Genomic DNA, 27,477 nt, shown 5'->3' on the forward strand with positions numbered 1-27,477 from the left:
AGGCACGTGGCATCAATCTTGTGTCGGTGGCAGGCAGCCCTCATGTGCCAGACGCCAAATGCTCGCTGACTCGCAGATGAGCCATCCCCAGGGCCTCCTCCCTGCATGACAGGACAAAGCAGCTCCATCTCCTCCTGACTCAACAGCCTCCTCTCCCCAGTCCCGTGCCCAGCCTCTCCCAGTTCCCACTCCCGTCTGACTCGTGTAGGCACACTTGAGGAAGGGGCGTATCTGGGGACCGTGTGGCCTCACTGGCCTCTGCTAAAAGTTGTGGGCAAGCCGGCAGGCCTGGGGGCTCCCACTAGAGGTGGGGTCAGATGTTGGGATGGCCAGAGGGCTGCCCAGCCTGTGGGCACTAGAGCCAGTGAAGGGCCAGAGGCAAAGCAATGCAAGTTGTCTTTTAAGGCTGGAGTGGCGAGACGGGACAGCAGGGAAGTTGTTCAGCAGACAGAGCGCAGACAGGACTGGGAGGAGGGAAGGGACGGGGTGCAGACAGGACCGGAAGGAGGGAAGGGACAGTGAGGCCAGGGAGTGGCGGGCACGGGGGTTATATTTGTTCCCCGTGGCGTCACTCGGCACCAACCTCAGACTGGGTGAGGCCACAGAAACATCTCCCACAGTGCGGGAAGCCGGAAGTCCAAAATCAAGCTGCTGGCAGGTGGGTTCCTTTGGGAGGCCTTGAGGGAAAATGTCCCCACCTGACAGCATCTGGTGGCTGCGGCAGTCTTCTTCTCGGGGGGTCCCCGACTCCACCCATGTTGCAGGGCTCCGGTCTGCCGTGTCACCAGCTGTCCTCCCTGTATCTGCACTCTAATATCCTCTTCTAAGGACACGGCTCGTGCTGGGCTTAGGGCTCGTCCTAGTGACCTTACCTTGACTCGATCGCATCTGCAGAGACCCTGTGTCCATGTGAGGTCACCATTGTAGGCACGGAGGGTTTGGACTTGTTGGGGGTGCAATTCAACCCACAGCAGGGTCTGAGGGAATGGGATCCAAGAAGGGAGAGGAGCGGTGGCCCCAATGAAGGGCCACGAGGAGACAGGGCAGGCTGGTCTGGTTCTGAACAAGGATGTTGACCCTCTCGTGAAGGCAGTGAATGGAGACAGGTCTGGGAGCCACCAGCATGGCCTCGGCCTCCTGAGTGCAGGGCAGGAGACTCATGGCGCGCAGGGCCCGTAACACGCTGGAGGCCAGGATGGACCCGACACAGGGGAGCGGGAGGCTCGGCCCGGCCGTGGGGAGCGAGGAAGGGCCGCTGGATGTGCCTATTGATAAAGAGGTTTCCAGAGGCTATTGGAATGGCCAGGCAGAAGCTAGAGAGCGCTAAGGAAGCTGCTTTGGAAACAAATGGGCCCAGACTGTGATGGGTGACATGTATGAACCCCACTGTGGGCTGGCTGCTGTGTGAAAATTATGTGAGTCAGTATGAAAATACCTAGGAAAGGGGAGTGTGCCACCCTCCTTGCTCCATGTTGCGTGACCCAAGATGCCGCATGGGCATCAGCCCAGCCCTGGCCACCACCAGGACCTTCTGGGAACCTGGAGCCTTGCATTTTCTTGTTCCTTTCTGCCACTGGGGGAGGAGGATGGATGGCTGGAGCTGCCTGCCTGGCCTGGAATGCCCTTTCTCCCCGTCTGCGGGGTCCCCCACATCCTGCAGCCCCTCACGGACCTACTGTCAGTGTCCATGTCTCCCACTGGACCCTCCCTGAGCAACTGGAGGGCAGGGACATCAGACCATTTGATCCCAGCTCCCAGCACAGAAGCTTAGTGCCAGGGGCACCCAGAGAGATGGAATGAGGCAGACTCGGAGGTCTGTATTTTTTATTGTGGTAAAATAGCTATACCACAATATTGGCCAACTTAACGATTTTTACGGGAACAATTCAGTGGCATTAAGTGCCTTTACAAGGTGGTGCAACTGCTTTGAGTCTCTGCTGGTGATGTCACTTTGGCAAAGGGACGAAATGAGCCACCAGTGCGTCAGGCCTGCTCAGAGTTGTTTGGAGGTAGCATGGACACAGGTGCCTGTCCCTGCCCCCTAGCTGGGCTGCAGCGCATCCTAACAATGCTCCAGGGGCTGGGCCGGCCCTGAGCCTGGAGGTGGGCAGGGCTGCAACTGCCTCCTGGGCCACTAGAGGGCATGTGGGAGCCACTCACATGCACCCCAGGCCCCACTTCCTGGGTAGGGTGCCTGGCCCCTCAAAACGAGTGCTGCTCTGAGCTTGTTGGGATGGATCTTTCCCTCCTTCAGCTTCCGCCTGCTGGCAATGCATGGGGTCCTGCGCCCCCATTTCTGCCTCGGTGTCACAGGGCACACCCCTCTCCCCTCAAGGTGGCTCTTCTCCTCAGGACACCACTCCCGTTGGATTTAGGGCCCACCCTACCCCAGTGTGATCTCGTCTTCACTAGTTACCCTGCAACGAGCCTATTTCCAAATAAGCCTGTGTTCTAAGGTACTGGTAGTCAGGACCTCAACGTGTCTTTTGGGGGGACACAGGGACCCCAAGATGCCCCACAGCAAGTGACAAGGGGAAGTGATGAGATCAGGGTCCCAGGACCTGCCAAGTCTCCCCACACACGGGGGAGCGGGGGTGGGGCCCACATCCTTCAGTCACGGACATGCCCCAGCCCAGGGCCCTGGTGCAGGGAGAGCTGCTCTCTGTGCCCTCCTGGGGCAGGTGCCCGCTGTGCTTCTCACAGGCCTCCTTGCCTTTCAGAATCAGTTGTCTGGAAACCTGCTGAGGAAATTCAAAAACAGCAACGGGTGGCAGAAGCTGTGGGTGGTGTTCACAAACTTCTGCCTGTTCTTCTACAAATCACACCAGGTAAGTGTCTCGCACAGGGCAGGTGGCCCTGGGACCTTGGGGGTGGCAGCATGAGGTGAGGGGGCCGCCCTCCTCTGGAATGACTCAGGCCTCTTGGGCTCCAGGTGTCACGGGGATGACAGGGATGCTGGCGGGGGGCCCTGTCCACCCGAGGCCCTCAACTCTAGGGAAGACTGACATTATCATCCACTGAAGGACAACTTCTGCCCTAGGAAGGGCCACCTGTCTTCTGCCTGGACAAGGGACGGGGGTTGGCTTTATCTACAGCTCAGTCCTGGCGGGACTTGCCACCCGGGCCATCACGTACAGGCAAACACTGGCTGCCATGGTCCCTTCCAGGCCCACGCCCGAGGAGGGAGCTGCCTGGGCTCCCAAGTCCCTGTCTGATGCGGGGCAGCAGCCAGGCCCAGCAGCAGAAGCTGACCCCGAAAAGCCACTTTGCTTTGTTTCCCCTTTCCAGGACAATCATCCCCTTGCCAGCCTGCCTCTGCTCGGCTACTCGCTCACCATCCCCTCTGAGTCCGAGAACATCCAGAAAGACTACGTGTTCAAGCTGCACTTCAAGTCCCACGTCTACTACTTCAGGGCGGAAAGCGAGTACACGTTCGAAAGGTAGACACCCCCTTCCCACGCACAGGGCCCTGCAGAAGAGGACCCCCTCTTCCAAACATCAGGATTTCTCCCAAGTCAGCGAGTGAGATGGCCCCACCCTTCCCTGCCAACTAAGCGTTTAGACCTGGGGTCCCACTGCCCGACACCAGCAGGCGATTCTGTTCTCATGGCAGAAAGTGGGGTCCCAACTTCCCTGCGCCCTTACCCTGCACGGTGTTGGCTGAGGCCCTAGACATCTTGCTTGGAGATCTCTGACATAACGTGTCCGGGATGATGAAGCTAAGCCCCAGTGAGACTGCCTACATGGTGTAATGGCAGGGACTGCAGACTTCATTTAGCCAAGAAAGAAATGCAACAGTCAGGCCTAAGACTGTTCCTGCAATTCATATTTTGAATAGAGATCCTGGGCCTCTGCAAATTGCATCCCCAAGCCGACTACTTGTGCAGTTTGCCCTGCTGAGCCCTCCTCGCCCCGGGAGGCAGAAGGGGAGGGGTCCTCAGCAATATGCTGAGCACCTCCTAAACAACATCACCTGAAAAAGGAACCTAGAGGAGAGCCATTCTCAAATCTGATCCTGGACTGAGCTCGAGAGCTGGGTTGAGAGCTGGGTTGATCAAAGTTGGGATTTTGCTATTATTGTGACAAAGGGTCCAGCCTTGCAGTCCAGATCCTGAAAGGCCTGGGACAAGGCCAGGTAATTTGGGGAGTCCGTCCTGCATTGTGCAGGATGTTCAGCGGCATCCCTGGCCACCCACTAGATGCCCGCAGCAACCCCTCAGTTGGGACATCTAAAAATGTCTCCAGACTTTACCAAATGGGACAGCATTGCACCCATTTGAGAAGCACCGGTAGAGAGCAAATACACAAATATATAAAAAGGGAGATTTGGGCGTGGTGGTGCAAGCCTGTAGTCCCATCTCCTGGGAGGCCAAGGCTGGAGGATCGATTGAGCCCAGGAGGTAGCTACAGTGGGCGATAACTGCACCACTGAACTCCAGTATGAGTGACAGAGCCAGACCCTGTCTCAAAAAAAAAAGAAAAAGAAAAAAGGAAGGGAGAGCTTCCACTAAGCAGGATGGGACACGTCCCGCCATTCTCTGCCATGTCCATGAAAATAGGAGGTAGCGTTCTCCCCAGCAACCAGAGGCCACCTCGCTCCTAACTGCTCCAATGGAGCGGGCAGTGTCACTGCAGCAAGGTACTTCCAGCTCCACACTGAGTGAGTGCCCAGGCCAGTGGGTCTCCACTGTACCTCAGGAACGCCTGGGTGCTGGCTGTTCCCTTGCTCTTCTGCTGAAGTGGCAGATTACCAACCAGGCGGCCTGACTTCACCTTGTGTTTCTGTAAGCGATGCCCACCAAAGTGTCAGGAGTCCGTCCAAACAAAAGGTTGACTAACTGGCGTTCCCGTGTTGCAGGTGGATGGAAGTGATCCGCAGTGCCACCAGCTCTGCCTCGCGACCCCACGTGTTGAGTCACAAAGAGTCTCTTGTGTATTGATGGCCGGACACACTCGTTTCCGCAGTGGCTGCTTTCCTGGAAGACGTTTCCTTTCTTCTGTATTAATGAAGCCTGGTAAAATTAACACCTGTCTGAAAATCAAAAACATGGCTTCCCAGCAGCTCTCCTGTCTCCACAGCCGCGTTTTTTAACCCCGACCTCTCAGCGTCTGAATGAACAGCGCTCCCACCTCCAGTCCTGGCATCCGCTGGGGGCGCTGTTCTTTAGCTAGTGCCAGTATTAAAACATTGTCATTACGAGAGTGCCAAATGACATCTTCCCTCCACCCTGCCCCTGAAAAACAGTACACACACATCCGTTCAACACAAGACAGGGCAAGTGTTTTTCTTCCTAAAAAAAGTTCTTTCTTTTATTATTTTCACCTATTGGCTGCTGCATTTTACGAAGTGGACTTCCCGGTGTTTGTTTGTTTGTTTGCAATACACTCAGTGCAGCCTTAAGCAAATGAGATCATTTTCAGATTTCATTTTTTTTTTCAGTCTTTCTACTTTTGTAATAATAGGAAGTTAGTAGGACTCACTTCTCTGATTAATAAGCAATTTGCAGCACACAGCGTTCCACTGCGGGGTTTCACGCTCACCTGAAAACACCTGTTCCCAACCTACTTCTTGGTGCAAGTTGACCAAATCGTTTTAAGTGGTAACTCTTTCCAACCGTAGCAGGGTTGTTTTCTGTTAAGCAAAGCCGAGATCCAGTGCAATACCTGGACTGTCACCGTCCTGTGAGTGGTGTACACAATGGGAAGATAATAAGCCGTGGTGTTTTGCTGTCTGTCTGTGTCACAAGCATGAAAACCCGTGTGTCATTGATCAGCACCATTTGTGGTATGTTCCGTGATGAGCGTTTAGTGAGCCTGCTGGCTGCAGAGCACTATGAAATCATGGTACGTAGTCCCCGGCACCTGTCGTTATTCCTATATCCTCCTGCAACTGTGGTTTGAAACTGCGCATTCTCTAGTAGTATATATCGTGCCTGTCTTCAAAAACATTTCCCTTTTTATACTCATTCCCCCCAGGCATGGGGTAGTGTCAGTCGGACTGCACAGGGAACACGGTTTCCAGTGGCTTTGGCCCCTACTCGGGAAACGTCTGCCTGTTCTCGATGGTGATGGGGTGGCTGCCATTCCCTTGGTTTTCCTAAGCCCTTTCTAACGAGAGTCTCAAACAAGCGGAGGCGAGGGCCAATTCAACCCCATTCTTTCCAGCGCCCCGCACCATAGCACCTGCCCACCTGAGAACCAGGAACGCACCCTCTCTGTGGAGCTCTGACTGGTGTAGCTGGAAACAAACAGCAACTTGCAAACGGACGAAGAGCCTGCCGTGTGTTAATCATTTGCCTTACAAGATGTACCAGACGGTTTCCAGTACTAACAAAGGGAATAAAAATACCTCACGCCACAATCCAGCATATTGATGTTTTAAGGCAAAACAACCAACTTTGTCTGTAGTCTTCATTTTCTGTGTGGGGGGGGAGGGGGGAAGGGGACACTCCAGCAAGGGTTTCTAAAGCCCCAGTGTTCAGAGTGACACAGGGAGGGCCTGCCCCCCACTGTTCCCTATGCTCCCCCCACCTCCAGGCAGGGGCAGAGCAAACAAACAGCTCCGGGCCACACAGCAGCATCAGGCTCCCTCCAGAAGTCACCACTCACTCATTCCTGGAGACTTGGGGACAAGGCAGTCTCCTCAGCTATTTATTTCTGAATGATTGATTGATTCCAAACTACTTGCTGGACACTGGTGGTTCTGACCTGTGACCAGCACCTCTGCTTCCTGTGTGCCCTCAAGAAAATACTAGTGTGGGTAACAGTCCATCTGAGTGGAGTTTGAGACACACTACACATGAGACACACAATGATGCAGATACTCGTTTTCTTGAGCTTTATTGGCCCCTGCATGATACAGTCCCTGTGCTTAAGAACATGCCCTATTAGGTCACTCTGCCTTTGCTGACACATTTTATAGCAGAAATACACAAGCTGTTTTTAAAGGAGGGAAATATAAAAAATGTTTATAAACTGACAGTGTTTTGCCAGAGGAAAGGTACAAAATGCTACATACAGAACCAAACCAGCCACTTCACAAGAGCAATGCAGGGATAAAACTATTGGATAAGGAAGGCAGATGCACTTCCAAGAAAATCAGAACCCAGCAAGAAGTGGCCAGTGCACCCCAAACCACACTGGTGTCCACCTCATTGGCAGCAGCCAGCCAGGACACAGCTCAAAAACGCAGGAGCTACCAGCCACCCAGTCCACGGCCCTCGTCTCCCAGAGGCTGAGTACCTCCCCAGGCTGCAGGCTCTGGGCAGCTGAGCCAGGAGCAGCTCAGGGCTGGCACTGAGAGGCTACTGGTGACAGTAAACCCGTCTCAAAGGCTGGGCCTGGCTACAGACCAGCAGCAGTTGACGCTGAGGCAGGTTCCAGTGGTAGCCCTGGTGCCTGGGCTCTCTCTTAATGCAGGCCTGGAAGTGGCGACACAAAAGCCAGCTTCCTTGGCTAAGATGCCCTTAAAAACATTGGGGCTGATTTTGTGCGTCTACAGAAAGTAACAGCCCAGGAGAGAATGTACACAGAGGCGAGCTTTCTAACTCCATCAAACCCCACCTCCCCCGACAGGAAATGCTGCCAGTCAACTCTAAAAGAACCACTTGTTGCTCTACGGGGGAAGGGGCTGAGTATGATTTGTCTGGCGACTGCAGAGACTCCCCGTTCATACCAGTATTCATTAGAACCCAGTCCCTCGAGCGGCTCACCCACTGTTACTAGCATGAGACTGGCTTCAGTGCTAAAAACTGTGATGTCATTGTCCATTTGTAAATCTGAAGAACTCTGTAAATCAGAAAAGCTGCTGTCCGCCCTGGCTCACTTAAAAATCAGGTAACGGCACACCCTGGGGAACACAGACTCAATCTGTGTGATTCGCAAGGACAAAACTCATCTTTGACTTATGCCGCCGGCCTCACGTAAGGAAACAGTTCCCCACACAGAATACTCCCTGGAAACACAAAATGAAATCTTCTCCAATTTTATTATTCAACATAACATTCTTGTATGGAGTAATGAGTACAATAAGAATTAGCAACTCAGTTCTATTTCCCCAACCAAAATATATCCCTTATACAAATTAAGAGTTCAACCCAAATCCACTTCTAATAAAATACCTCAATTTTAGAGCTTAAAAACCAGACTGCACTAGCAAACCGACACAATAACCCACTCAAGCATCTGTAGCTCAGGGCTCTGTCCCCTCCCTATAGCTTAGAGGCCACTAGACCAGCAGATAGCTGAGCTACATCCCCAAGCTCACCCACTAACTTCCTTGCTTCCAAAAATCCTGTCTTAACTCCACAAGAACTGGCACACCCACGGGAGATGTCAATCATCAGCTTCAACAAACATAAAAGAATGCTTCATGTACCAGTCAACAGCTGCTGCACGAACCCTCCCACTCCAGAAACCCAGAGATTTTCCCCCTCGCCAAGCAAGGTCCCACAGCAAACCAAGAAAAACAGACACACTGGCTGCCTGCCTAGCAAGCATAGGCCCCTTCCAGAGAAGCAAAATAACTCTTAAGGTCCCCGGCAACCGCTACAGCAATCGCACAGATCAGCAACCTCCAACTGCATCATCTCGGTGAGCAAGTGCGCAAGCAGTCCAGGGCGCTGACCTGGGCACTCGGCAGCTCCAGGCCTGGGGACTTCTCCCTGGAGTCTTCCAAAGTGTCTCATCACACACACACAGCCACGAGTACACACGCACGGCCACACATACACAGCAGGTGCCCTGTCCTCTGAAGAGTCACATTTCAAGGAGTATGCAAAATAAGCGTGTTATAAAATTTATTTGTGTAAGCATTCAGACATTTTTAGGTGGGAAAGATGATATGCAGAATCCACTACAAGGTGCAACAGAAAATCGTATTGGAAAGGACGGTACATCTGGCGCAGACCAGCAGTGGCACGATTCCAAACAAATGTCAGACGAGAGCGCTTCATGGGGAGAAACTGAAAATTATAATTTAAAGCTTCATGAGGCAAGATATGTTCCAATTTAAAACACTAAGAAATAGTACCATCGATGAAAAAGGAAATCAACCTCTAGGTGTACCAAAAGGGGCGTAGGGCAAACGGGGAAAATTTGCATTTGTTGAGGTACAAATAGGAGTGTTCTGTAAGAGAGGGGCATTAATTATTAATGACAAACCCTGCAAATACAAAATAAAACCCAAATCACTGGTCACAGAATTCAAAATGTACATGTAATAAAGGCAAGGCAATAGACTCAAGTTATGGCCTGTCGAATATTTACTCCACTGACGTTATCTACAGAAGCACTTGGCCAGTTTGTACACAGTGATTCCTTATGCACGCCGAAAGGGTTTCCGTAAAAATGACATTATATACAAATCTGTACACCCATCCACCAGAGCGATTCTCCAGCTCCCAGAGGGAGTTATCAACTTAAAGCAGGATACCTGAGGTTTCATGTCTTTAGTTGCCTTATCATAATCCCAAATATACATTTCAGGGTTTGTTTTTGTTTTTAAAGACACTTTCCTGGAATATGTGCACTATGGTTAAAATTAAAAACAAAAGTAATAAAATAAAATAAAATGATCGCTGGAAGGAGCTGACCCTCCCCACCCATCTGAGAGACTTCATCTGGCTGCAGCACAGTGAAGACTGTGTGTGTCCCTGGACGGGCGCCTGGCGCTGGGGTGGCTCCCAGTGGCGCACCTCTTCGGTGGAGTCAGCGAAGGCTCTCGTTGACTTTTAAAAAAGGAGGAGGATGAAGAAGGAAAAAAGGAAAAACAAAACCCCAAATGCCAAAGGAATTTCAGTGGGATGAAGTTCCTCCACCACTTAGAGAGTATCTAGGGAAAAAGAGAGAGAGAGAAGTCAACACATGTCATTTCTCATCCCTGTGCAAAAATTCATATAGTAACCAAAATCTTAGTTTTCATAAGAAATTCCAAGTCATACAAAAATAAGTGGAGCAAATATCAATGTGTAAGTCTAATTTTAAAAGAATGCATATAAAGACTGAGAAGATCATGATTCTTACACAAAAACTCCAGAGCATGTCACCAAAAACCAAGAATGGGTTCAGCCTCCCTGGAGAGATGTGAATAAAACGGGAAATCATATCCCTTTTACTTACGATCAATTGTCAAAAAGTGAACATTGATCCATACATGATGACACAGTAAGATTCCAGGGATGCATATGCATTCCCGATGTGAGGGCAGGAAACCCATTTTGGCCATAAAAATAGTGATGCAGTCCAAGAATCTATTTCCTAGAACTGCTTCCGAAATATGGTCCAAAGCAGGAACAACGTGTCTGCACAAAGATGTCTCTCGGGATTTTCGTAATTACACTAATTTGGAAACAACTCTGATGCCCAACAGTACAGAATCAGTTAAGTAAATTATACAAACTGAAATAACAGACTAAAAATGGTAATTATCTGTATTTACATATATATATTAAAGCAATATTAAAAATATGTACAAGTTTAAAAGTACATACAAAATTACAGATTGGGCATCCCTTATCTGAAATGCTTCTGGCTTTGGATCTGGGAATATCCGCATTATACTTACCAGTGTGCAGCCCCAAATCCGAAATCTGACATGCCCCAGAGAGCAGTTCCTTTGAGCCCCATGCTGGCGCTCAAAAGTTTCAGATTGGGGATTTGGGATATTCAGCCTGTATATGTGCACTATATAAGTATATTTACATGAACAACTTCTGTATCCTAAATTAAGTACTATAGAAATTCTAAAAAATCTTCTTTGCACTATAAGGTAGATAAGAGAATTCAGTAAGTTTATGACCTGGTATGACAACAGAAGGCAATGCACCCAAAGATGCTGATGAGATTTGGGCTACAGTGGTGGGATCATGGGTAATTTCTGTGTCTTCCAAAAATTCTACAAGATTGTCTTCAGAAGACAACAAAGGGTGAGAACGGGGTCCCCTCATGACCACAATTCCCTCAACCATTTTACAACAGACTCCAAATCACAGGTCCAGGAGAGATGGCTGAGGATGTCTTTGACCAGGCTTATCTCAAACGTTCCAATCTAGAGCTCCTCTTTTCAGGCATTTGAAATACTTGGCATCTCTCCCAGAGAACAAATGGTTACATAAGGTCCTCCCAAAAGCACACATTAGCCACGGAGCCTAAGACTCAACTATCAAGAAATACAAATGACTAAATCACGGGATGAGTTGATGTCACACAAAAGAATCCAAACATTAATTCCAGCTGAGACAGAAAGGCTCTGAAAATGCTTCAGAGGAGAGGCGGCTCTCATTTTTCCTACAGCCATCCACTGAAACAACATGTTTGGAGCAAAACTGGCAGGAAGTCTAAGCCATGGCCACCGTGGTTTTGGCAGCCATCGGGGTGAACGCTCAGTGGGAGCTTCAGGAGCAGGGAAGGAAGAAGTGGGTACCACAGCCAAGCCTGCAGAGAGATGATAAGCACCTCAAGAGGCAGCTCATCTGAGGACAGAGGAGGAAAGAGGGCACTCCTCATCACAGACAAAGGAAAGAGAGCACCAACTTGGCTTCCCCCATGCATCACTGCAAAGTAAAGTTTTAAACACAACACAGACATCAGGTAGCTACAGACCCGCCCGAGGGTAAATAGGGTCAACCCCAGCCACGATGCCCAGTGAGCACGTAAAATGTGCTGCGTCTGAATGGAGATGTGCTAAGTGTAAAACACACACCAACTCCAAAGACGGTCCCTCCAAAAATGTAAAATACCTTATTGATGATTGTTGTTATTAATGTTGAAATAATACTTTGGATCTGGCAGGTTAAAAAATGTATTGTTGAAACTAATTTCACTTCTTTTTGCTTTTTAAAAATATGGCTACTAGAAAATGTAAAATTCTCTTTTTGTTTGGTTTTTAGAGACAGGTTCTCACTCTGTTGCCCAGCCTGGAGTGCAAACGTGATCACAGCCATAGCCGCGAACTCCTCAGCTCGAACAATTCTGCAGCCTCAGCCTCCCAAGTAGCTAGGGCCACAGGTACAAGCCACCATGCCTAGCTAAATTTTTTTTTTTTGGTAGAGACAGGGTCTTGCTATTTTGCCCAGGCTGGTCTCAAACTCTTGGCCTCAAGCGATCCTCCTGCCTGGGCCTCCCAAAGCATTGGGATTACAGGCATGAGCCACCACATCCAGCAGAAAACATAAAATTCTGTGTGTGGCCCACGCTGTACTTCTACTGGCCAGCACTGGTACAGATCAACTTGCCTTAACAACTAAAAGAAGAGGAACAGAGAGATAGGGGCCTGGGAATGGGAAACGTGGATCAGTTCAACACATACAAGCCACACACTCTGTGCCCTGGAGCTGCCCTGGGGAAATCAAGTCACGTATATAAACAAACAGTTCATAACAATTTCAGGCAATTCTGGACAGTGTGGAAAGTATTGGTTTTAAAAGTAATACTACAAAAGCAGAGAGCAAAATGCCCAACAAGACAGTAACAATCCTACCCGTTTCTGGTTTTGTTCTATTTGTTTTATTATAAAGCTCTTTCTAATGGGAAATAAATGCCTCTAGAATGAGGTATGTGATGCTAAGTTTGAGAAATCAAAAAGTTTGTGTTCAGGCAAAAGATGGGTGACTTTTTAATTCTATTTTCCTTTATTCCTATATTGTTTTTAGTATCAAAGGAGGGAGGGATCGTCCTTCAATTGCCTCAAAATTGAAGGCAGCCAAGTAGATCATTTTTATTTTCTAGCAACTTAAAAAGTTGAAATGTCTTACTAAGAAACCCGAGTTCAGAAGCATAAACGTGAAGTATCAGAACTGTGGTTTTCTCCTGCTGTCCCCACGTAGAGGGGCTCTTCACAGGACAGTAGGCAGCCCCTTCAATCACTTCCAAATAGCAAAAGGGACCTCACGTGTGCAAAACTTCTTTATGTACTGTCAGGTGGGACGCAGTCTCAGGAAAGACCCAGAAATCCCCCTCATGATCACAGAGTCTCAGCCAGCTTTGGGAGGTGTCAGCCTGGACACCTGAAGATGAACTGTCAAGGCAGCAGCACGCCTGGTCCTCCTGGGGGTGTGGAGGACAGCCCAGTGACAAATCACCCTCAGGTCACACAGAGCGGCTTCCCAGCACACATCCACTGCCTCCAAACGCCTGCACTTGTGCCAGATGGCAGTCAGGAGGGGCTTGGTTCCCATGGATACTCCTACAACAAGTTGGGAGGGGGCAGGGAGGGCAAAACTGTCACCCCACTGAGTCCTCACCCATAGTGCATTCAACAGGTGGGGCCACTGGGCAGGGACAAAAGCTCCCTACAGGCTGGCACAGATGAACCCCTACCAAGGAGGCTTCCAGACATGACACACACAGCTAACACAGGGAACACACCTGCGCCCGCTCCCGCTGAGTTGACCACACCAAAGCTGCTGTCATTTCTCACACTTGACTTTAAAGCCGAAAACCAGATAGATAGTTACACACATCTGGCTAAGAACGATCATTCTCTGGCCAATAATTAAGCTGCATAATTAAGAGGAAACAGGTATTTCACCACCACCCTGTATTTATGTGGCAAAAGCTACAAATGCACTAAGTCCTGTGGGCTTTCCAGTAGTTTCCAGATTCAGATCCTTCATTCACATTGATTTCTAGAATTCAGAACAAAGTCTCCTCTAATTCAACTCTGTCTACCCTGAGGCCTGCAAGATAACAGGAACAGACAGGCCAAGAATCAAGTACCAAACTCATCAACTAAGTCCCAGCCCAAGTGCAGGTCTCTCCTTCCCCAGCCCAGAGGGGCCCTGGGTAGTTACCTCTGGAGCCGCTGCACGAGCTGGGCCACCATGGTGTCGGAGATGCCAGGGCACGCCTCCTCCGCTAGGTAGATGGCCCCTCGCAGCTCTTCAATGGACCCCAAGTTCCCTCCGCACGCCTGGCTCTTCTCCTTCAACTGAAAACACACGAACAGGAAGAATGGCATGAAGCACACCAGCTGCAAAACTGGGAAGCATGCTGTTCAAGGAACAACACGGCGTGTGGACCACGACACTACCCCAGCCCCAGGGTGTCCGGGAAAAGCTTTGGCTAGGGCTCCAGGCCACTTCAAATTGCTTTTTTTTTTTTTTTTTTTTGTGAGACGGAGTCTGGCTTTGTTGCTCAGGCTGGAGTACAGTGGCGTGATCTCAGCTCACTGCAACCTCCGCCTCCTGGGTTCCAGCGATTCTCCTGCCTCAGCCTCCCGAGTAGCTGGGATTACAGGCCCCTGCCTCCATGCCCAGCTAGTTTTTGTATTTTTAATAGAGACAGGATTTCACCATGTTGGCCAGGCTGGTCTTGAACTCCTGACCTCAAGTGATCCGCCCGCCTCGGCCTCTCAAAGTGTTGGGATTACAGGCGTGAGCCACTGTGCCCGGCCCGGGTTCCTTTTGAAGAAAGGTGATTCAAATGCTCTGAGAGCAGTTATGTATACACAGGGCAATCATCAGACCATAATCATTACTGTTCGAGGCCAGAACAGAGACGACTAGCTCTCTGTGTGCCTTTCCCAAGTCTCACCGTGATGGACTGTCCTCTCTGTGCTGTTTTCCTATTTCAACCATAACCTTGTACCAGAAAAGCAATTTCAAAGCCTATCCTAAGTTATTCTGATCTCAACACTGCTTACTTCCTAATGTTAATGGGTTGGTTCTTAAACTCCAGCAAACTGCCTTTGTGATCCAGAGTAGAGTCAAAATATTTGATTTCATGTAAATAAGTGGCAGCCTTAAATTCTGGGAATCTCCAGTGTTCTTCCTGGCACCTCTACTCCCAAGAGAAATCACAACAGTGCCTTCAGACACTTCCCTCAGTTGAAGGTCAACTCCAAGTCTCTCTCTGGAGGCCCAAAAACGTGAACTGTGAAAATAAGAGCTGTTCAAGTCAAGATACAGCATGGCTCAGAACTCAACAGAAGAGGCTCTTTGTGATGGACACCGCCTCCTCTTCAGGGAAGAAAGAAACATCTCAGGCGACATTCAGCTTGGTTTTCAGGTTGTTGAACACATGCTGTCATTTCCAAACCCAGCCCTGCCCTAAGAGCAACGGCTTCTCTCTTCGCTACTGAAGGGGCAGGCAGGAACTAGAAGGGTCTGACCTTGGAGGGCCAGTGGGTGTAGAGAGCATTTGTTCCTGAAGTTCTTGCTGTCACAGGGCCACGCCGCCGGCCCCGAGGCGGCCACTCGTGTTTGTCTAGGACTCCCAATCACTTGACAGTATTTACAAGTCCCGAGAGGGTCAGCTACAATCCAGCACTCTCCCTCCTGCCCATGCCCCGCCCCTAAGTCTCAAAGAAGGAGCAAAGGCGGCAGAAGGGCCGCCCTGGGAGAGGGCCTGTCCCCTTGCCGTGTGGAACGTGCTGGACCCATCACTGACTTCAGGGAGCAACCTGACCTGTGCTCCCTGAAGGAAAGCAGGGACGCCAACACCCGTCTCCTCAATGTCCTCATCTGTAAGCATGGGGATATAATCCTTCTACTGGGCTTCTACAAGTATTGTATGAAATAATACACAATAAACACTCTGAACTCTAGGGTAGCAAATATCATTCTTAAAAATACATTGGGAAAGATGCCTGTGAGTTTAGCAATTGGTTACCTGGAAAATCCAGGATATGACGGCGTTTAGGATATGTCCTGAATAATTATGTCAAAGTTGCTTCATGGGCCCAGTAAAAAAATAAACAGCCTCAGGAGAATGAAAAAGTCCATGCACTTTCCCTAACTGCCTGACTGACCCTATTCCAGCGGCCAATGGCAGGGCCGCAGGAGCACAGCCTGGAAATCCCACGGGGCCAACTCCCATGGGACAAAATGAAGCGCAGGATGGCGCTCAACCCGGACATCCTAGTTAGGAAGAACACAGGTGCCCAGAACCATGAGCCAGGGCTGAAGCCAGACATCATCCAGCAGGGCCTCCGCGTGCCCTGTGGCTTCCCCGACACCAGCGGGCTCGGCTACTTCCCACTTGAAGCTGCAGGTGAGGCCTCGGGCTCTGGCCACAGCCCTGCTCCCACCGGGCCCTGAACTTGCCAGGTCAGAGGCCCTCAGACAAACCCTCCAGGGCACCTGCTGGGCAGGGCAACAGGTGAAGGCTTATTGGAGGGCTGGGAAGAGGCACTGGCAGGACCGTGGCTGGCCAGGCACGGCCCATGGCCGGGGGTCCCCCGCTGCGTGACGCAGGCACAGGGGAGGAGAATGAGCTCCTATGACACTTCCTCTCCTGAGCACCTCCCCTTCAAGGACCAGGACCCCTAAACACAGCCGCAGTGGAAAACTGCCCAAAGAGGGAAGATCCCCACGCAAACAGATGCGTGTGTGGCCCACAGTGAGTACCTCAAAGGCAGCCTCAGCCAGGAAGGGGCACAACAAGAAAAGAGGGGACTTCCAACTTATTTTCAAATCCGCTACTAACCAGATGCAGAACAATCTTCATTCTTATAAAGCCTACTTTTGAAAATCTCTCAAAACACGGCCACGGGAGCACTTTCCTCTGGGAGGGAGAGGCTGAGCAGGGAGTGGGCGTGGGGAGGCCCAGCTGGGAGCACAGCACTGCTGAGCAGAGGAGGGACTTCAGTGAAACATGTGGCTCAGGGGAAACCGGAGGACTCCAGGGCATCCAACGTCTCCTTAGAAGAAAGAATCTACTTTTCACATGGCCAGAAATTGGTCTGAGGCAAAGAGAGCAGGCTGTACACAATGAGATTTGCTAAAAAGCAGGGCAACGGGTGACACAGGGTCTCGGGCTGGGTCACTGTCATCCAGTCTACACATTCCAGGCTGCGGCGGAGTGGGCATCACCCAGGACAGGGGAGGCGCAAGGTGGTGCTGACAGCCTTTGGGAAGGCACCATGCAGGCTTTCCGAGCCTTTGCCAGCTTGTCTTAATGTCCCCAACTCTTAACTGGCAACATCACCACTGAAGTGTGTCCAGCTTCTCCTTCCCCCTCCCCTCCCACTCCGAAAAGGCCAGCCAGGTACCTACCTCTGCAAACAGAGGAGAAATAATTGTAGATAAACACTGAGAGAAAGGCCTCTTCGGGATGTCTTTCATCTTGGGGGAGAGGGAAAAAAAGGTCATCAGAAACAGTTGACGTTCACATTGGCAATAATTTAATAAACCTCCCACCTGGACTATGGAAGCGCAGGAGTTGCCTCTACACTTCACGCTGAGGAAACACCCTCTGCGCACCATAACATCTGAAGGAGACTATCGGCTGCCTCTCACTAGACTTCAAAGTTTCATCTGCAGTGACATGCAAAACCCACGCACCGGGGAAACCAGCATCTGGGTTCCATGTGGAAGGGGACTCTGTGTGGGCACAGGCGGTGAACTGCCTCGTCTTGCTATCTACGCAGAAGTGCTTTACTGGTTGGGCGTGGTGGCTCATGCCTGTCATTCCAACACTTTGGGAAGCCGAAGCAGGAGGATCACTTGAGCCCAAGAGTTCGAGACCAGCTTGGGCAACATAGTGAGACCATGTTTCTATTAAAAAAAAAAAAAGTTTTAAATAAACTGGGCGTGATGTCACATGCCTGCAATCCCAGTTACTCAGGAGGCTGAGGTGGGAGGATCACTTGAGCCCAGGAGTTTGAGGCTACAGTGAGCTCTGATGGCACCACTGCACTCCAGCCTGGGCAACAGAGACCCCGTCTCAAAAAAAAAAAAGAGAGAGAGAGAGAGAGAGAGAAAAGTACTTTACTAATGAAACCCTGGAAATAGAAATCAGGTCAAGATTGGCCATTCCAATGGCTGTCTAGGACAGAGACCGAGTTTCTACTTTTGCAACCTCTATTTGGACATTTAACACCTGTTCACTTATCAAAGCGGGACTTGTAGGATCAACAGGGGACAGCCACTGGCCCACCCTGCCTGAAAGAAACTACACCACTATGCTTTACAAGACCCTAAATATATGGCCTTTCATAAATTTAACAGGCATAAAACCAATTAATCAAAATTGTTTTACATAAATATCAAAAGCAATGCATTTACTTATAAGGTCCTTAAAACTCAGTCACAAAATTATGATATGTATGTAAGTAACCGCAACATGCACAACAGTCCCTCAGAGCTATGAAGTCATTTCACGGGTCACCCCCAAACCCCATGACATTGCCACATCGGGACATCCTAACTCAACAGCAGGGCTGCAGAGAGCAGAATAGAGTGGCACAAAACAGACCAGAGGCCAGACTCCCTGGTGTGAACACCTGGATCATCAGACAGAACTAAAGCTCTTCATCTGCCCATCCCCTAGCAACAAAATTCCAGGACAGCTGCCACAAAGGACCCCAGCCGCACCCACAGCAAGCTTCACACACAAGTGCCTCCAAAACACTGCAGACTGAGGTCAGCGTGGCCATTCTGGAGTGAGCAGACGTACCTTATTTCTGTCCAAGTCCGATGGCTGAAGAGCTCCATTCTCGAGATTCTTGGGATCTTTTTCTCGGATTGTGAAGATCCAGTCCCCAGAATCACTGCCCCCCGAGGCTTGGCCATCTGTTTCCCTTAACACAGAAATGCAGGAAATCCCATCAGTGCTCGCACACCTGCTCTGGGGGCGCTGGGACGTTCAGGGGGAGGCCGCCTGGGGACCTCTAAACCCACACCCACCAGCCCCAAGTCCCCACCCATCACACCCTTGTCCAGTCCCTCTGGGATTTCCCAAAGACCCCCCCGCCTCCTCCCTCACAGAGAAGAGACCATCGGGAGGTGGTTCCACAACTCCCTGGCGTGCCAGTGTGTGCATGCCCACCCTCCTCCTCCTCCCGGAGAACACCTCCCCCACCTCCCTGGGAGCCCATCTCTGGGACATCAGCTTCTCTCTGCTGGGCTCCTCCTCTCACCAGGGAAGCAGATGTCCCTGTGTTGGGTGTGGTGGCTCATGCCTGTCATTCCAACACTTTGGCCTCACCTTGGCCATCTCTCAGCCCTGGTTCTGGGATTCACACTCACTGCCTCTATTTGGTACCCTCCACTCGCTCCAAAGCCCACCCGTGTCCCTCCGAGCGCTCCCTCCCCCATCATGAGATGATGGTGTGCTGATCACTCCCTGTCCTGTATGGGCCTCAGAGGCAATGAGCCCCAGGCCCTGCTGATCATCCCCTGATGCCTGTGGCCCCATTAAGCCTGCACCTCCTCCCGCCCCTCGGCCATACCTCTCCCCTCTCACTCACAGGCGGAGCCTCACCCTCACACCTAGGGGCCAGCCTCACTCCCCCACATGCCCCAACTGACACCCTTTTTTCTCTCGGCTCAAGTGACCTCCACAGAGCAGTGGCCCCTAAGCCCGCTTCACCTGCCCAGCTTTCTCACCTGAACTCCACACCTCGGTGCCACTTCACACTGGACGTCTCTCCTGGACAACTCAGACTCACACACGGTTCACCCCACACTCGGCTTCCCGCACCACACATCACAACACCTGGTGCCACGCTGCCCCAGCCTGGAACATTGGCTTCCCTCCTTCACCCAAATCCACCGCCGCGTCCTGGCTCTCCAAACCTCTCTCCAGTCTCTTTCTCTTGTCATCCCTGTTGCTACCCCAGCAATCTCCCAATGGCAGTACCTCAAGAACTTCCGGGGGCAGTGGTCTCAACCTTGGCTTTAAACTGGAATCACCTAGAGACCCTGAAAAACCACTTAGGGTCTCATCCCCGGAAATCCTCATTCAACTGGCCTGGCACATGGACCTGCACTGTGGGCCAACTTTAACTTCTGCCAAGGCATGCACGAGAACAGACGAGTCCCACGCTCGGACTTCCAGACACAAGTCTGCCCGACCACCTCCCCCAGCCCTCCCCACACAAATGGCTCCAGCCCCACTCCGCCTCTTAAGCCAAGGGAATTCCTAGATGCCAAACTTGACAGCAATTCTCAGTAAGCCACTCCTGGTACAGAAGCTTCTACCAGACACAATACAGAATCACAAACACATGCATTTCTGGCCTTTCAGACATCCATGTAAAGCAGTTTCACCTGATCAGGGTTTTACAAACAGGAAGTTTAATGGAAAACAGAACAGAACAGAACGAAACAAAACAGAATGAAACAGCCAGGTCCAGTTCCCCATGCACAGCTCTACCACAAGAGTTCACTCGCAGAAACTCCACCAGCAACGTCAAGAGGCTAAACAACTCCCAAACAGGCCCAGGCTGTGTCTAACACAACAATTGCCACCAACCTGGATTGTCTAAAAAAAAAAAAAAACTCAACAGAAAACGAAACCCACACCAAACAGTGACAAAGACCAGCGGATCCCTCCCACACACATGCTTGGGTCACTCAGGGGCCGACTTACGCGTCGGAATCCTCGGAGCTCGAGTCGTCATGGCTCTGCTCGGCCTTCCATCTCTTGTACCTGTCGATGAGCTCGGTCAAGTAGGAAGTTTTCTTTGCATTGCGTAGTATAAACTTGTGCTTCAATAACTCCTTAGCAGTGGGTCTCTGGAAAAACACACCCAACAATTAAAGTATGAGATGAAGTTCTTGGTCCTACCCCAAAGGACAGACTTCTGCCTCAAAATGTCAACCGCCACACTGACACCTGATGGCTGGACTCTCTACTCCACAGCGCTTCTCACTGCAACTCACCCAAAGACGAGTCGCTCAGGACCTACGCCTGGGCTCTGGGTGCTATGGTGGGCAGGGCACTGTCTTTCCAAGGATGTCCCTAATAAATACATTTTCACAGAAAACTCTGCACAGAGCTTCACAGGGATCATTTAAGAGAGCTTAAATGATCTGGTCGGGCGCAGTGGCTCACGCCTGTAATCCCAGCACTTTCGGAGGCCGAGGCGGGCAGATCACGAGGTCAGGAGATCGAGACCACCCTGGCTAACATGGTGAAACCCCGTCTTTACTAAAAATACAAAAAAATTTAGCCGGGCGTGGTGGTGGGCGCCTGTAGTCCCAGCTACTCAGGAGGCTGAGGCAGGAGAATGGCGTGAACCCAGGAGGCGGAGCTTGCAGGGAGCCGAGATCGCGCCACTGCACTCCAGCCTGGGCGACAGAGCAAGACTCTGTCTCAAAAAAAAGCTTATCTCCTAGTTTATAAAATACTTTATGACAAATGCTGACAAAATATATGTTCTGTGTTGTTTAACTTTTTTTTTTTTTTTTTTTTGAGACAGTTTTGCTCTTGTTGCCCAGGCTGGAGTGCAGTGGCACGATTTCGGCTCACTACAACCTCGCCTCCCCAGTTCAAACGATTCTCCTGCCTCAGCCTCCTGGGTAGCTGGGATTACAGGCCTGCACCACCACACCAGGCTAATTTTTTGTATTTTTAGTAGAAACGGGATTTCACCATGTTAGCCAGGCTGGTCTTGAACTCCTGACCTCAGGTGATGCACCTGCCTCGGCCTCCCAAAGTGCTGGGATTACAGATGTGAGCCACCATGCTGGGCTGCTTTGTTAACTTTCTGTATTAACGTTTGGCCACATCCAACCATATAATAGAAATGTCAATTTGGAATTATCTCAGAGAAACTGGAAAGGAGCCAGGAGATCCCCTTTTTCCTGTCTGCTGAAAGAGCAACTGGATGCGCTTCACCACCAACTTTCCCGGTTTAGAAGGGCTATTTCCCAGGTCCCTCCCTCCCTTCCCTTGTGATTGGGCTGAGGACTTCACCCATGCCCTGGGCTCAGCATGGCCACCGCAAGCAGCACCTGGTCAGCTGCCTGCCTTGAGGATGGCGATAGTGACAGGGAATGTGCTTCCCAAGGAAACCAGCATGGCCCAAATGGGAACAGACAGCAGGAACACCCAAACACCGAGTCGAACCAAGTTCCCACTCACTCCAAATTACAAAAGCTTGATTACAAGAGCCAAGCATGTTTTCAGATTCAAACTCATGAGAAACGTGGATCACCTCAAGTATTCTCCCTCCCTGTCCATCCAAGGGTGAAACCCCAACTACCCCGGAGGTGCTCATATTCTCGCCTCTCAGCCAGCTCCTCGGTAGCTGTGGGGTGGAGCTCTGTGTGCTGGGGCATAAGCCCATACAGGACACATGCTTTGTATGGGAAGACATGCCTGCACACATCTCCACTGGTGCTGGTGCATGATGGCTGCAAGAAACATCATCGTGTAATAAAATGCAGAGCATCGTGGCATGCAGGACAAGCCCCACCACCACCCGATGCTGATGTAGTCATCAAACACTGGTGTGGTGGTCTCAGCCTGCATCTCCTTAGACGTACTTAGAAAATGTTGCATTACCCATTTAATTCCTTTACCAGAACTGGCATATTAGGAAACCATGGTGCTCTTGTAAAAGTAACCACCCATTTTTACATAAGAGTTAAGAAAAGGGGGGCTCAGCTTAGCCTTCAGCTAACTCTGCTGGAAAACTCAGAAACAAAACAAGGACATATGGTGCTACCTCCAACACCAACACACACACACTACTTTCAAAGAAATGTCCTAATTCAGACAGAAAATGAGGCAAAGCCACACAGTCGTTACTGCTGTATGGCTCTGCCAGAGTCTATTAAACCTAAAAAGAGAAAGTAGGCAGGAAGGGGAGGGGAAGAAGCACAGAGGGTGGCTTGGTTATATTTTCTAATCTTTTGTTTCCTAACACATGCCACCTGGAAAGTGAAAACATTTACTTTAAAGACATATTTAGCCATTTGTTTCCAGCTAACCTTTGCCATTATTAAAAACAGTGTAACAGTTTATGGCCTGATCTTCTATAAATATTAAACATTTATGATTCCACATTTAATATTAAGGAGAATATTCTTCAGATTCAATGAAGTATGAGATGGCAGAAATCTAAAAGAAAATAAGGAGATTTTTAATACTTAAAAATTAAAATGTATTTGCAAACCAAAGAAGTCAATCATACTTACTTAGAAAAAGAAAAATGAATAATACCAGGAAGACAGCTGAAAAGAGTGATTAAAGCAATCCCAACAGGATGTATCTCAACCAAGTCAAGCCGCACATGAAGAGGTACGCTGTGATCCCTGGGAAACTTACAAAGCTCGGCTCCTTATTCAAACAGGCCTCCACAAACTCCTTGAGGGGTTTACTGTAGTTTCCTTCCAACGTCGGTGGGTTGTTCTTTGGAATGAGGAATAAAACTTTCATGGGGTGCAGCTCGGAATGAGGTGGTTCCCCTCTTGCAAGTTCAATAGCTGTTATGCCCAGGGACCAGATGTCTGCCTGCAACAAGAAAAGCATCTTTACAAACACCAAGCAGGAATCTATTCCAATACACAGTATTTAGGGGGAAAATGGTAACATGTCTCAATACTTCTGAGGTTTTGAAAAAGGTATTTTTAACTGATATTTAAAAACATAAGCCCTCGCTGTAATTTCAAAAGAGACAACAGGAGAAACTGTAATATGCCAAATGTTTTCTGCCTCTACATGGAGATGGCTTATCAATTCACTCCTACTACGCCTCCTGCTGGATGCATTCGGCATTCCCCGTGGAGTCCCGGGGGCCAGCAGGACCAGTAAGAGAGGTGAGCAGAGAGGAGGAGTCCGGAGTGGGTGTACGCTCGCGAGTCACCCCCTCCAGCAGTGCTTAGAACTTAGGGCACAGCTCTGAGGTCGAGAGTGGGCACCTTGGTCTCAAGATACCTGGGTTGAAATGCCAGTTCTACAGTCAAAGTCCTGTGACGTTAGATGAAAGAGCTAACCTCTGAGCCCTGTTTCTCTCATCTGTAGAATGGAGGTGGAAGAGGAGGAGGTGGCCATGTAAGGTGCCTTACCAGGGGCCCAGAACTTAAAAAAGTTTATTATGAAAATGTTCAAACATACAAAGAACTGAGAAATATTAATATAATGCATCCTCATCTACCTATTGCATGAATTTACTAATTAACATTTTGCCATACGAGCTTTGTCCATGTGTTCCCCGAGTATATTTTAAAATCAATCAGTCATCATGACATTTTCCCCCGAGTATTTCCGTGTGCCAATATACAGACTTTTTACTACCTATCAGTGCCTGAAATTAACACGAATTCCTTAATGTCATGTATAATTAAATGTTCTCAGCTGTTCAAAAACTGTCATTCCATGGTTGGTTTATCTGAATCAGGATCCAAAGTCCACGGGGTACAACTGACTGCCAGGTCGCTAAGGCTCTTTCAACCTACAACAGTCCTGTCCCCAGTCTCCCCAGGGACATCAACTTAAAGAAACAGGTCCCAAATTCGGGATTTGTCTGGTGGTTTCTTGCTGATGTCATTTACTGTGTCTCTCTAGTGTCTGCATTTTCTGCCGAATGTCCCAGAGGAGACATCTGCAGAAGCCGTGTGGCCCCACTAGGACATCTCAGGTCCAGCTGCCCCACCTCCTTCTGCCCAGCACAGGCCTGTGGCACAACCAAGCAGTTAGGCAAAGGAATGAATTCCTTGAATGTGTCATGTCAATGAGAAGAGCCAGGCCATCCTAAGAGGAACTTGACAGCTGATGAGACATTGACAGCATGTGACACCAATCCCCAAACAGGACAGAGGCCGACAATGAGGCAGGACATAGTCCTATATGGGCTGGCGAAAGACGAATGGGGACTGGGGTAGAGAACACGCCTGAGTCTGGTACAGCTTTCCTGCTGTTCTCACTGTGCACTGGAATCCATCATTATTCCAAGAACTTCAGTGAGAATCGAATACATCTCTCACACTCACTCTACAGCAAGGAAATGCATAGGCGGAAGCATCGTTGTGGCTGCAGGGTGCTTTAACTATCCAGAGGATACACTTACCATGTTCCTGCAGCCTTAGTGAGTACCAGAAATCCCTACTGGAAGCCCCCAAGCCCAGCAGTCCATGGGAATGATGCCTACGGCATATTCTATTTCCTTATTCTCAGTGAAGATGAAAAGCTGCCAGCAAGTCTTGTTCTAAATTCTTTCTACTAAATCTTGTACTGAAGGGGTCAGTCTAGAAGAGCTGACGTTGGAAGTAATACTATTTTCCTTCCCTCTACAACTTGGACTCTGCTTTATCTTGCATTGCATTATCTTAAAAATCAGCAGAAATGCAACTGATCCCAGTCTCTTGCCCCTAGGAGCAGGGAAGCAGGTGCATGGGAGCACAGGGTGGGCAAGCACCCAGAACTGTGGCAGCGACAGGAGGACAGGAGTGAGCAGGCACAAGGAGGGAGGACCGAGGAGGGGAGAGGCAAGAACAGAGGTGGCAATTGTGACTCTTGTGTGGCAGCGGTTCTCCACACCAACAGGTGGCTCTCAAGTTTGTGTGATTCCACATCTGTCTGCTTCCCCCAGGCCTCTCAGATTTCATTACAGCTACTGCTGTTTTCAAAGCATGCTGTCTCCTGGCCACACAGACCCAGAGCCTTCTCATTTGTAAGGGTACATAATAGTTATATGAATTTTTTCTGGTACAAGTATACAGTGTGTAACAATCAAATCCGGGTAGCTGGGATCCCCCTCACCTCAAACACGGCTCATTCCTTTGTGCTGGGATATTCCAAATCTTCTCTTCTGGCTATTTGAAACACAACAAATTATTAACTACGGTCACCCTATTGTGCTACTGAACATGATCTCTGACGGATGCACCTCCAGACCTCCAAGCACCTCTCAACCAGCTAAACACACTCGGTGACTGGCAGGCAGGCCCTGGCAGAAGCCGATCTCTGCTGAGAGTACGTCGGTGATGCGCTTGCCTTGATTTTACTCAGAGGCCCGAGGACTTGCTTTCAGGTTCAGGGACAGATAATAAGCAGGCGGCCGAACGCCTGCTTGCGAACGCCTGCTTCTGCACGCAGTGTGCACCACGGGAAGTTCACTGAGAAAACCCCTGCTGGCCCCATCTGAACGCAACCCACGTATCAGTCTCCTGGCTTCCAAGGAGGGCAGCCAGTACAGCACCATCAAGAACAAACATGGGGGCCAGGCGCGGTGGCTCACGCCTGTAATCCCACCACTTTGGGAGGCCGACGCAGGCAGATCACTTGAAGCCAGGAGTTCGAGACCAGCCCGGCCAACATGGCGAAACCCCATCTCTACTAAAAATACAAAAATCAGCCGGGCATGGTGGGCTGCACCTGTAGTTCCAGCTACTTGGGAGGCTGAGGCAGGAGAATCATTTGAACCTGGGAGGAAGAAGTTGCAGTGAGCGAGATCATAAGTCTGGGTGACAGAGCAAGACCCTGCATCCCCCCCCCCAAAAAAAAAAGGCGGCGGGGGGAGGACATCCTACTAGGTAGCCATGCCAGGGACACGAGGGTCACCCAGCTCCTTAGGATCCCCTCTTTGGACCCTCCTAAATCCAGCTGCAACCCAGGGTGTATGGTTCCTGGGCTCTCAGCACCCTGCGTCCCCTCTACCCCTCCTAACTTTGGATTAGTCTAAAGGGATCTCTTCTCCCCAGGACTTCTGTAGGGGGCTCCCAAGTGGTCTTCCTGCCTGCTGGCTCTCCCACCAGACATCTAACTATGAGTAATTTGGAATCCTGGACTGGCATGTGAATCAATGGCAAGCAATTTGGCATACAAATCGAAAGCCACAAAAATATCCAAACTTGTTAAAACCAATTACTTCGATTCCTAGGCATCTCTACTACATTTTAAATTTGGAAAATGGTATGGGCTGCCCAAAATATTCAACAGCAGCATTACTTATGTTCAACCTCAGAAGAATGATTAAGTTGCTATGGCACATTAACTTAATGAAGTAGGATGTACTCAACAATGTGTTGATAGGGAAACTCATAAATATAATTGAGTTTGTCTATTACTGCTTCTAGGAAAAATGACAGCAGATCAAGAACTTGTGTCTGAGGTTTTTTTGTGTCTTTTGGCAGGGAGGGGACTCACTCTGTCACCCAGGTTCAAGCCATCCTCCCACCTCAGCCTCCTGGATAGCTGGGACTATAGGGCATATCACCATGCCCAGCTAATTTTTAAATTCTTTGTAGAGGTGGGAGTCGGGGGGGCAAGGGGGGGTCTTGCTTTGTTGCCCAGGTTGGTCTTGAACTCCTGGCCTCAAGCTGTCCTCCCGCCAGGGACTCCCAAAGTGCTGGGATTATAGGCGTGAGCCACTGTGCCTGGCCTATGTCTGAGTTTTAAAGTAAACTTTATGTGGGGAGCAGGCAGTCATCTTCCAAAGCAATTAAAATGAGGTGGAAGGAGAGACCCATTTGGGAAAGATATGAAATTAGACATTAAGACACTGCTCACAGAGAAAACAAACAGTGGTTTCTAATATAAGCTCCAGTCAAAAGCTGCAAATGCACACATTAACTGCGAACGAATCTTCTCCTGGGGCATGCTCCTGAGTGACCACCCTGAGTTCTCTGTTACTGATGGTTCTGGACTCTCCTCAACATTGGGAGATGTGGGGATCTATGCAACAGCATCCTACATCTTCACAATATCATGTCAAATAAAGTACGCTAGCTACACATCTGAAGATACAATTTAAGTGATTTTAATTATATAGAGAAAATAATTCTAGAAGAAACCAACTCTATAATC

The 27,477-nt window shown here is 49.8% G+C and overlaps 2 protein-coding genes across 5 annotated transcripts in view, besides 5 other annotated features; one reads left to right on the forward strand and one right to left on the reverse strand.

The window, feature by feature from the left end:
- The window catches only part of FARP1 (FERM, ARH/RhoGEF and pleckstrin domain protein 1), a 312,588-nt gene extending 300,789 nt beyond the window's left edge, over positions 1 to 11,799 (forward strand). For both annotated transcript variants that reach the window (NM_001286839.2, NM_005766.4), the window contains 3 exons: positions 2,721 to 2,828; positions 3,289 to 3,440; positions 4,859 to 11,799. In NM_001286839.2, the coding sequence (NP_001273768.1) occupies positions 2,721 to 2,828; positions 3,289 to 3,440; positions 4,859 to 4,940 (342 nt within the window). In that variant the 3' untranslated portion in view covers positions 4,941 to 11,799. The remainder of the gene's footprint in view (positions 1 to 2,720; positions 2,829 to 3,288; positions 3,441 to 4,858) is intronic.
- Positions 1,808 to 27,477, reverse strand: part of STK24 (serine/threonine kinase 24) — a 131,923-nt gene continuing 106,253 nt past the window's right edge. For all 3 annotated transcript variants that reach the window (NM_001286649.2, NM_001032296.4, NM_003576.5), the window contains 6 exons: positions 22,999 to 23,184; positions 20,314 to 20,459; positions 18,397 to 18,520; positions 16,995 to 17,063; positions 13,791 to 13,927; positions 1,808 to 9,832 (listed from right to left, as the gene is read on the reverse strand). In NM_001286649.2, coding sequence (NP_001273578.1) covers positions 9,796 to 9,832; positions 13,791 to 13,927; positions 16,995 to 17,063; positions 18,397 to 18,520; positions 20,314 to 20,459; positions 22,999 to 23,184 — 699 coding nt within the window. In that variant the 3' untranslated portion in view covers positions 1,808 to 9,795. The remainder of the gene's footprint in view (positions 9,833 to 13,790; positions 13,928 to 16,994; positions 17,064 to 18,396; positions 18,521 to 20,313; positions 20,460 to 22,998; positions 23,185 to 27,477) is intronic.
- Positions 1,863 to 1,912: an enhancer, noted in NCBI's record as "active region_7899". NCBI's record gives its function as "activates an Ori minimal core promoter by ATAC-STARR-seq in GM12878 lymphoblastoid cells {active_cell/tissue: GM12878}" and the evidence as "EXISTENCE:reporter gene assay evidence [ECO:0000049][PMID:35858748]".
- Positions 2,458 to 2,752: a silencer, noted in NCBI's record as "tiled region #8978; K562 Repressive non-DNase unmatched - State 8:EnhW". NCBI's record gives its function as "represses a minimal TATA promoter and a strong SV40 promoter by Sharpr-MPRA in K562 cells {active_cell/tissue: K562}" and the evidence as "EXISTENCE:reporter gene assay evidence [ECO:0000049][PMID:27701403]".
- Positions 2,683 to 2,732: an enhancer, noted in NCBI's record as "active region_7900". NCBI's record gives its function as "activates an Ori minimal core promoter by ATAC-STARR-seq in GM12878 lymphoblastoid cells {active_cell/tissue: GM12878}" and the evidence as "EXISTENCE:reporter gene assay evidence [ECO:0000049][PMID:35858748]".
- Positions 15,058 to 15,352: a silencer, noted in NCBI's record as "tiled region #11628; HepG2 Repressive DNase matched - State 17:Gen3', and K562 Repressive non-DNase unmatched - State 16:ElonW". NCBI's record gives its function as "represses a minimal TATA promoter and a strong SV40 promoter by Sharpr-MPRA in HepG2 and K562 cells {active_cell/tissue: HepG2 | K562}" and the evidence as "EXISTENCE:reporter gene assay evidence [ECO:0000049][PMID:27701403]".
- Positions 20,340 to 20,841: an enhancer, noted in NCBI's record as "H3K4me1 hESC enhancer chr13:99115971-99116472 (GRCh37/hg19 assembly coordinates)". NCBI's record gives its function as "activates a minimal SCP1, AML or CMV promoter by ChIP-STARR-seq in naive H9 embryonic stem cells {active_cell/tissue: H9 hESC(naive)}" and the evidence as "EXISTENCE:reporter gene assay evidence [ECO:0000049][PMID:30033119]".

This window comes from Homo sapiens, chromosome 13 (assembly GCF_000001405.40).
Source record: "Homo sapiens chromosome 13, GRCh38.p14 Primary Assembly".
In the NCBI taxonomy this organism is placed as follows: domain Eukaryota; kingdom Metazoa; phylum Chordata; class Mammalia; order Primates; family Hominidae; genus Homo; species Homo sapiens.